Genomic DNA, 10,134 nt, shown 5'->3' with positions numbered 1-10,134 from the left:
TCATTTTTTATCCACCACAGTATTTGGCAGTATTTGGGACATTGCTATGCAAAGTAGAAAAATCAATAAATATATTGAAATGAATTGAACTGAATTATATTGAATATTGGTTCTCTATCCAAGAAAAGGTGATCCAATTTTAAAAATTTATGATGTGCTTGAAAAGGCAATAAATCTAAAGATAAATGTATTCTATACCGAAATACCATATTCACCCTATTAAAATCAATAAAGAGAACAAGATGGCACCATGGGAATATAATTTTGGGCAATACTTAAGCTTCTCAGGTATTCTTATTATCATATATAAACAAAATAACATTAATGTTATTGGTGAAGTATCTTTAGGCCCTAGAATGTTATAGTCAAATAGAACTACATTCTTTAACTCTTCACATACATTCATGAACATATATTCTAATCCAGATATTTTTCTAGGTTCTGGGAATGCCAGTCAAGAAACTACAGTGCCTGGACTCAGAATGGTAGTGACACAAGTGACAAGTAGTCATATTCTAGATATATTTTAAAGAAACTGTCAACAGAACCTGCTAAGAAATGGAAGTGGAGTTTCACAGATAGGGAGGACTCAAGATAACTCCATAGACTGTGGCCCAGTAACTAAAATAATGAATTTATACTATCCTGAGATGGGGTAAGCTGGGGGAGAAGGGGAAATTTTAGTGATTTTTTAAACATGTTATTACACAGATGCTTCATAGACATTCAAATGAATATGTCAAGTAAGGAGATGGATATGGGTCTGAATCTCAGGAAACAGGTATAAGTACATGTGGGACTCACAAGCATATAGGAGATATTTATCAACACAGGAATGAATGAGATGATCTGGAGAAGATGATGAATGTATATGATGAGAGGAGGTTCAAAACTAAACCTAGGGGCATCATACTACATGGAAATAAAAATGATCCAATGAAGGAGACTAAACAACAGTAACAAGTGAAGTAAGAGGGAAATCAAGAAAAGGTAATGTTCCAGAAGCCAAATGAAGAAAGCGTTTTAACCAGTCAATTGACACTGATAGGTTAAGAAAAATCAATTCCTAGCATTAGCCATTAGATTTGGTAATTAAGCTAAGTTTCTAACTAAAATTAGTGTAGAAAATAAAACAAAATACCTTTTTTTAAAAGTCTAAGGAATAATTGCAAAAACTCATAACCGAAAAGACAATGTCACAATAAATATTATTACAATAAAAGAAGAGAAAATAACATGTAGAGATTTTTAAAAGTAAGAAAAATTATGAATATTTACTATTTCAATATATTTAACATTTTCAGATGAAATAGATCATTCCCTAGAGGAAAAGTAAATTACTCCAACTAATTCAAGAAGAAATAAGAAACCTTAATCAATATCCAAGCATTAAGCTAATTCCAAATGTAACCAAATTTCTTTCTTTTCACTCAAATTATGCACTCTCATACCTTACCCATACTCATACACACACAGTCCAAACTTTAAAAAGAACTAAAAGGAAATTATTATAGAAAATATAGTAAGAGAAAAAGCCACTCAATTAATTACAAAATAATAATGCAAACTTGATGCAAATACCAGGAAGCCATTATTTTTAAAAAGTGAGTGTAGATCCAAAAATACTGAATGAACTATTAGCTAATTTGAATTTATCAGTGAGTATAAAAATACTGTATTATTATCAAATCTAACTTATTCTAGAAATTTAAAAGTATTCAGAATTAGAAAAATAGTTACTATAATATAACTTACCTCATTATCAAATTAAAGTGAAAAATCAAACATTTCTCCTAAGGCATACAAAGAAGACATTCAGAAAATGTCAATATTGAATATGGTTTATAAAACACAAAAAATGTACAAGAAAAATTTAATATCTCATTAAAAATGACACCACAACCAAAAGGAATTTATGAAGTGAAGGATAGTTCAATATTTCAAAATGGATTAATTTATCATATCAATACACGTAAATGGAAAAAAATGCAACATGATTATCTTTATGGATGTTTAAAAGGCCTTCGATAGTTCCACAAGCATTCTAAAGAAAAACACTCAAAAAGTAAAGCAGCATCTTACTTGATATGGAAACATTAAAGGCATTTCCACTAAGATCAGGAAAAAAATAAAGACATCTATATCCTTACTGTAATTTGACATTGGTTTGGAGGCATGAGCCAATGTAATCAGACAAAAGAAAAATAATTGAGGGACAATACTAGAAAACGACATGTAAACCTATCTCTATTTACTGATAATATAAAATTATTTATGTAAAACACAGTGACACAATTCACTAAATATAAAAAAGTATAAAAATCACAGTCTTTATACATACTAACCATAACATGTTAAAAATAGAATGGAAGAGAATATTCCATTTTTTATTCTAGTATGAGCTCAGCTTAACTAAGAGAACATTCCATTTTTAATGACAACAGAATAGAATGCTTAGGAAAAAAATTACAAAAATTGCTCAACTTATAGAAAGAAAATCTTAAAACACTCTTAAAAGACATAAAATAGAACCCATCAAAAAGAATATAGCTGTTCTCTTTGTCTCGAGCTACACAAAATCATACTGATGCCAATTAACCTCAAGGTAGATTTAAACGCAAACAAAAAAAAAAATTCTTCTAGGAACGTCACAATTCGATGTTAAAGTTTTTAAAGAAGAAATAAACATTCAAGAATAACAATTAAAATCCTGAAAAAGGGCCGGGCGCAGTGGCTCATGCCTGTAATCCCAGCACTTTGGGAGGCCAAGGCGGGCGGATCACTTAAGATCAGGAGTTTGAGACCAGCCTGACCAACATGGTGAAACTCTGTCTCTACTAAAAAATAATAAAACTAAAATAATAATAATAATAATAATAATAAAATAAATAAAAAATAAAAATGCACGAATTAGCCGGGAGTGGTGATGTGTGCCTGTAATCCCAGCTACTCGGAAAGCTGAGGCAGGAGAATCGCTTGAACCCGGGAGGCGGAGGTTGCAGTGGGCCAAGATTGCACCACTGCACTCCAGCCTGGGCAACAGAGCAAGACTCCATCTCAAAGAAAGAAGAAGAAGAAGAAAGAAAATCCTGAAAAAGAAAAATGAATGGTAGTAGCCCTTCCAGATACTGAAATATAACCTTAAAACTCTAACTTAAAAATTTGATTGTGGTAGAAGAACAGATAGAATGATGATGAAAGCAAAACAGCTAGCAACAGATCCCAATACACATGGAAATTGAGTACATGATAAACTGTAATCTCAAATCACTATGGGAAAAATTGTATTGGTAATAAAAGGTAATGGCCACTTCATCACCTGCACTTTCAAAGAAACACCAGAGAAAAATTCTCCAAGGCGTGTTTTCCACTGCGATGCCGAACCTCTGCCTTTAGGAGTCCCCTATTCTTGAGCAAGGCCACCTGCTTCCCCTGGACTTGAGCTAGACTCCTTGAAAAGTGGGCATTTGGAGAGATGCTAGGGATACAGATGCTGGGGGAGGGGCGGGGTGTGCACAGGGTAGTCGGGAGGGTTTGAAATGAAGATGGGATGTGCATGGAGCAGGGAAGCCCTGTGAGATAGTTCAACTTGGGATGCTCCCAACATCTTGTCATCATGATGGATGTGCTGGAGAAGGAGATACCCCAGTGAGCTGCCACAAATTCATAACTTTGCCCTTGCCTTGGGAAGATCCACAATGCCTCTCTTGGCTGCATCTTAAGGAGGGTCCTAACAAGGCCGATGGTTTTGACAGAAACAAGAGACTAAGTAAGTTCCAGGTGTCCCCTGGCGCCAGTAGGTGGAAGCTTCTGTCCCGGCCAGCCCTGCTCCAGCTCCCGTGCCCAGCTGGGCCAGTGGGAGAACTGGGAAGGAGGCTGGCCTTCCCCTTCACCGTGGCTAATGTTTGCTAGGCCAGTTATGGTCAACCAATGATATACCGTGTGTTCCCTCTTATGTTTTCCTTTTAGTTTCCCCTTTTCAGGGTTTCCAGAGAATTTTGTTGTAGTTGTTTTTCTTCCTCTATTATTGGGGTTTGAGGATTGTGGTCAGGGGAGCCCTGGCTTTCACTGAAGGAACCTCGTGGTTTCCGTGGAAGAGGCTCCCACTCCCACTTTAATGAGGGTGAAGGTTGTCAGGTCACTGTTTGACATATTCATCTCCCCACCCTCACCACCACACCACCACATCACCACCACACACCACCACACCACCACACTACCACCACATCACCACACACCACCACCACACCACCACACTACCACCACACCACCACACACCACCACACCACCACACACCACCACCACACCACCACCACACCACCACCACACCACCACACTACCACCACACACCACCACCTCACCACACCACCACCACCACACCACCACCACCACACCACCACCACACCACCACACACCACACACCACCACACCACCACACACCACACACCACCACACCACCACACACCACCACACTACCACCACAGCACCACCTCACCACACCACCACACCACCACGAAGGTTGCTTTAAAGATCAATTCTTGTTCAGAGAAGGATTTGCTAGGTTTGCAATTGGGCATTAGCATCACGACCCACGAGGGCCCTGCCCACCTATGTGTCCCACAGGGCACCTTGACTCTTCAAACCAAAATTCCTTAAAAGGGCACAGCCGAGCCTTGTCTGAAACCTCAGGGGCCTAGGATTTCTGTGGCACTTCCTGAACTCTAGGTTGCCACAGACAATGGGGTCTGAGACTAGTCAGAAGGAGGGGCTCTTCCCACAGAGACCAGCTGGTCTCTGCCTAGGACCTTCCCTCCCGCCCAGCCAGTGGGCGGCATCCCAAGCAGTGAACCGAGCTCGTGGACTGACCCGGGGCTGGGCCTCACCAGCCAGGAGAATGAGAACCACACGGCGGGGCTGGGTCAGGTAGCTCCTCCAGGGCCATTCAGATCCCAAGCATCAGGAAATCACAGAGGTACTTTCATTTTTATTTTTTTATTTTATTTTATTTTATTTTTGAGATGGAGTTAAGCTCTTGTCGCCCACGCTGGAGTGCAATGGTGCAATCTCGGCTCACTGCAACCTCCACCTCCTGGGTTCAAGCCAGTCTCCTGCCTCAGACGCCAGAGTAGCTGGGATTACAGACGCACACCACCACGTCCGGCTAATTTTTGTATTTTTAGTAGAGACGTGGTTTCACCATTTTGGTCAGGCTGGTCTCGAACTCCTGATCTCCGGTGATCCACCCACCTCGGCCTCCCAAAGTGCTGGGACTAGAAGCGTGAGCCACTGCGCCTGGCTGCTGAGATACTTTTTAAGAAGTGTAAATAATTTTCAGTTGTTTTCTAATCCTACCTTTTTCTTTTCCCCACGAATTCACATCAGTGATCCGTTCACATCAGGTAAGTCTTGAAAAAGCCTTGATGCCCCTCCCCGCTCCCCACTGGTTAACCACGTGCGTGCACCTGCCCCCCCCCCCGCCCCCGCGCCATCCTTTCTCAGTAGTTAAGATTTTCTAGGCAATACCATAGACACTTCTGACTGTGTCTCTCTCTTCAAGTGCAAGAAACTCAAAGCATCTTTAAAAAAATACAAAAATATTTCACAAAAACAAAACACACAAAAATGTCTTTTTTAGGCCAGAGTTTTCTACGGATATTAAGTAATATTTTTCTTAATCTGTATAAGTTTGATGTGTTTAATATTTCTTAATAGCAGCAGCATTTATTTACACTTTTGTAGCAACACAATATTTTTACAGAAAACAGCCAGTGCTTGGCTCAAGTCTTCACGAGGGGTTTATGCAGGGTCACCTTGGTGACCCTGTGTATCATGTACTGTATTAAAAAAAAAAAGTTACCTAGTGTCACACTTGCCGTGTTAATTAAGAAAAGACGTTGTGCGCAGTCTCCTGTATTGGTGTGGATCCAACAGCTCTCCTAGGAGTCACCTTGCATGGGGGTTGAGTTGACGGTTCTTGTTGTGATATGTAAACCCCCAAGACCAAACTTGAGGGTTTATTTAGGGTTTTCTGTTTGCCTTTTTGGTATTTGTTTCATTTTGTTTTTGTACTGTTACTTCCTTTGCAGCCAAATCAATTTCATGATGCTCAAAACTTTTACCGATGTCAAATGGAGGAAGGGAACAGGAAAAAAAAAAAAAAAAAGCAAAAAAGATTTGTACAAAGTAATAAAATTTAAAACTGAGCTTTTCTTTTTAAGGGGGGGAAGTAATGGTCATTTAGAAAAAATACAGTTGAATTCATACTTTCCACCATTTACCAAGGATAAGGTCCAAAGACATCAGAAATCTAAATGAACAAATAATAATTTCCGTAAGTATTAGCGGAAAAATGAATGAATTCCTTTATACTTAGGGTAGCAAAACTCTACCTGAATGTGATTCAAAATCTAGAAGCAATGAAAGAAAAAGAATAAATTTGGCTAGATAAAGTTATCAGAAACATGGCAAAACAAACCTAAATGTGCAAGTTATATCACAGGTAAAGACCAAAACCCTGGTTGAAAAATAGGCAAAAGAAATGAACAGTTCACAGAAAAAAAAAATGTGACCATGCTGGCTATTAACATATATATGTATGTTTATATATATATATATTCTTAATATATATATATTCTTATCTTAATATATATATTCTTATCTTTATATATATATATATATATTCTTTTCTTAACTCATAATAAAAGAAATTCAAACTAAAACCACACTAACATATCACTTCTCACCCATTGGAGTGGTCAAAATTCTTAACTTGACTAGAGTTGACAGAGAATGCTCTGTTTTTTAATTTGATAAGTACAAACTGCACAATTTTAAGTACTAGATGATAAGTACTCAATTAATTTATATTACTTTAGTTCTTTAAAAAGTTATATGTATGCCAAATATGTAAGTGTGGTTTAACAATAGAAAATCAATTAATGTAATCATCACATCTATACTATAACAAATGTACATCCACAAGTAAAAAAAAAAAAAATGAATCTAGACCCAGACCTTTCACCTTCCCAAAAAATTAATTCAAAATGGGTCATAGACCTAAATGTAAAACGCAAAACTATATAATTTTCAGAAGATAACATAGGAGATAATCTAGGTGATCATAAGTTTGGTGATGACTTTTTAGACACAACAGAAAAAGCACAGTTCATGAAAAAAAATTGGTAAGTTAGACTCCCTTAAATTAAAAAGTAATCTGGAACATTATGAAAAATGCTGAATTTGACAGAGCTGAGTAGTGGCCATATTGTGATGTTTTCATTGTGCTCTTCTGGATGTCTGAAATGTTTATTTAAAAGATAATTTAAGGCCAGGCGCTGTAGCTCACGCCTGTAATCCCAGCACTTTGGGAGGCCGAGGCGGGGAGATCACTTGAAGTCAGGAGATCGAGACCATCCTGGCCAACATGGTGAATCCCCGTCTCTACTAAAAATAAAAAAATTAGCTGGACATAGTGACGCACGGCTGTAGTCCCAGCTACTCGGGAGGCTGAGGCAAGAGAATCGCTTGAACCCAGGAGGCGGACGTTACAGTGAGCCGAGATAGCGCTATTGCACTCCAGCCGGGCAACAGAGTGAGAAGACTCTGTCTCAAAATAAATAAATAAATAAACAAATAAATAAATAAATAATAATTTAAACTAAAAAAAGACCATATTATTTCATTATAACATTTCCAAAAAATGTTTTATTTAACTCTTTACCTTCCTTTTTCAAATGTTTTTTTTATTACTAAAGCCGTGTTTTGAGTGATCTAACGTGACTTTAAAATATACATTATTTTTACTTTTGCCAACATGGTTTTAGATGCAGAATTTTGAAACAGGGATGATATTATAACTTTCTATTTGTTTTATGGCACAAGAATCCATGTTCAATAACACGGTAACAGTTTCTTTTCTTTATCTAGTTCTCTATAGGTGTATATTTGTGGTCTCCACAGATAACTACTTAGTCTATTGCTTAGTGGATTGATCTTTAAACATTATTCTATTGATCTATAAACATTACTTATAATGACATTTAATACTTGCAACCATGAGATAACACCCAAAGGAATAATTAGTAAATTTGTGTTAAATTCCTTTACAATCCATGAGGACAGAATGTCTTTCCATTCACTTGTGTCAGTGTCAATTTCTTTCATCAGTGTTTTGCAGTTTCCACTGTAGATGTCTTCACCTCCTTGGCTAAATTTATTCCTAGGTTTCTTATTACTTTTTGTAGGTGTTGCAAATGAGATTGCTTTCTTGATTTCTTTTTCAGCTAGTTTATTATGGAAGTGTAGAAATTCTACTGATTTTTGTAGGTTGATTTTGTATTCTGCAACTTTACTGAAATTGTTTATCATTTCTAAGAGGTTTTGGTGGAATCTTCCAGTTTTTCTATGTATATGATCATGTCTTCTGCAAAGAGGAACAATTTGGCTTCCTCTTTCCCAATGGGGAGATCTTTTCTTTCTTTCTCTTTCCTGATTTTTCTGGCTATGATTACCGCTAATATGTTGAATAATAGTAGTGAACATGGGCATCCTCTCCAGGATACTGTTCCACTTCTTAGAAGAAATGTTTTTCCCCATTCAGTGTAATGCTTGTTGGGAGATTGTCTTGTATAGGCTTCATTATATTGAGGTTTGCTTCTTCTATGTCTAATTTGTTGAGAGTTTTATCATGAAGGGATGTTTAATTTTACTGAGTGCTTTTTCTGCATATATTGGAATGAACATATGATTTTTGTCCTTCATTCTATTGATATGATGTATCACATTTATTGACTTGCATATGTTCAATTATCCTTGCATTCTGGGGATAAATTCCACATGATCATGTTGTATTATTTGTTTGATATGCTGTTGGGTTGGGCTTGCTAGTATTTTTTTGATGATTTTTGTATCTACGTTCATTAGGGATATTGACCTGCAGTTTTCTTTTTTGTTGTTGTTGTGTCTTTGTCTAGTTTTAGTGTCAGGGTAATGCTGGCTTCATGAGAGTGAGTTAGAAAAGCTGGGAATGGTTGCATACACTTATAGTCTCAGATACTCAAGAGGCTAATGTGGGAGGATTGCTTGAGCCCAGGAGTTCAATGCCATCCCTGCAACATAGCAAGGCCCCACCTCTAAAAAATAAAGATAAAAATACATGGATTTAGGAAGAATTCCCTCCTCTTTATTTTTTTTGATAATTGGAAAATAATTGCTGTTAGTTTTTCCTTACAAGTTTTGTAGCATTCAACAGCAAAGCCATCCAGTCCTAGACTTTTCTTTTTTTGGAAGACTTTCTATTACTAATTTAATCTTGTACTTGTTATTGTTCTGTTTAGTTTTATATTTCTTCTTGGTTCAATCTTTGTAGTTTGTGTATGTCCAGGGATTTATACATTTCCTCTAGGTTTTCCATTTTGTTAGCACATTGTCGTTTATAGTGGTTTCTAATGATCCCTTGCAGCTCTGTGGTATCAGTTGTTTGGGTTTCTGATTCCATTTATTTGGGTCTTCGCTCTTTTTTCCTGGTTAGCCTAGCTAGTGATTTATTTTTGTTTATCTTTTCAAAATTTGTTTATCTTTGTTTATATTTTCAAAAGAACAAGTTTTAGTTTTGTTAATCTGTTGTATTTTTTTTTTACTATGGATTTCATTTAGTTCTGTGCTCTGATCTGTATTATTTCTTTCCTCCTAATAATTTTGAGTTTTGTCTCTTGTTACTTTTCTAGTTCCTTGAGGTAAATCATTAGGTTGTTTATTTGAAATAGTTCTACTTTTTCTAGGTAGACATTTCTTGCTATAAACTTCTCTCTTAGCACTGCTTTTTCTGTATGGCATTGGTTTGGGTATGTTGAGCTTCCATTTTCATTTGTTTCAAGAAATATTTTTAGTTTTTCTTAATTACTTCATTGACTCAATGTTCATTCAGGAGCATGTTGTTTAATTTCCATATGTTTGTAGAGTTTCCAAAGTTCCCTTTATTATTGATTTCTAGCTTTATTCCACTGTGGTCTGAGAAGATATTCAATATGGTTTCAGTTTTTATAAATTTGCTGAAGCTTCTTTTGTGGCCTAATATATGGACTATACTGGAAAATTCTCCCTGTACTAATTAGGGTAATGTGTACATTGCTATTG

This window comes from Homo sapiens, chromosome 18 (genome assembly GCF_000001405.40).
Source record: "Homo sapiens chromosome 18, GRCh38.p14 Primary Assembly".
Classification (NCBI taxonomy): domain Eukaryota; kingdom Metazoa; phylum Chordata; class Mammalia; order Primates; family Hominidae; genus Homo; species Homo sapiens.
This window is presented reverse-complemented; position numbering follows the sequence as displayed.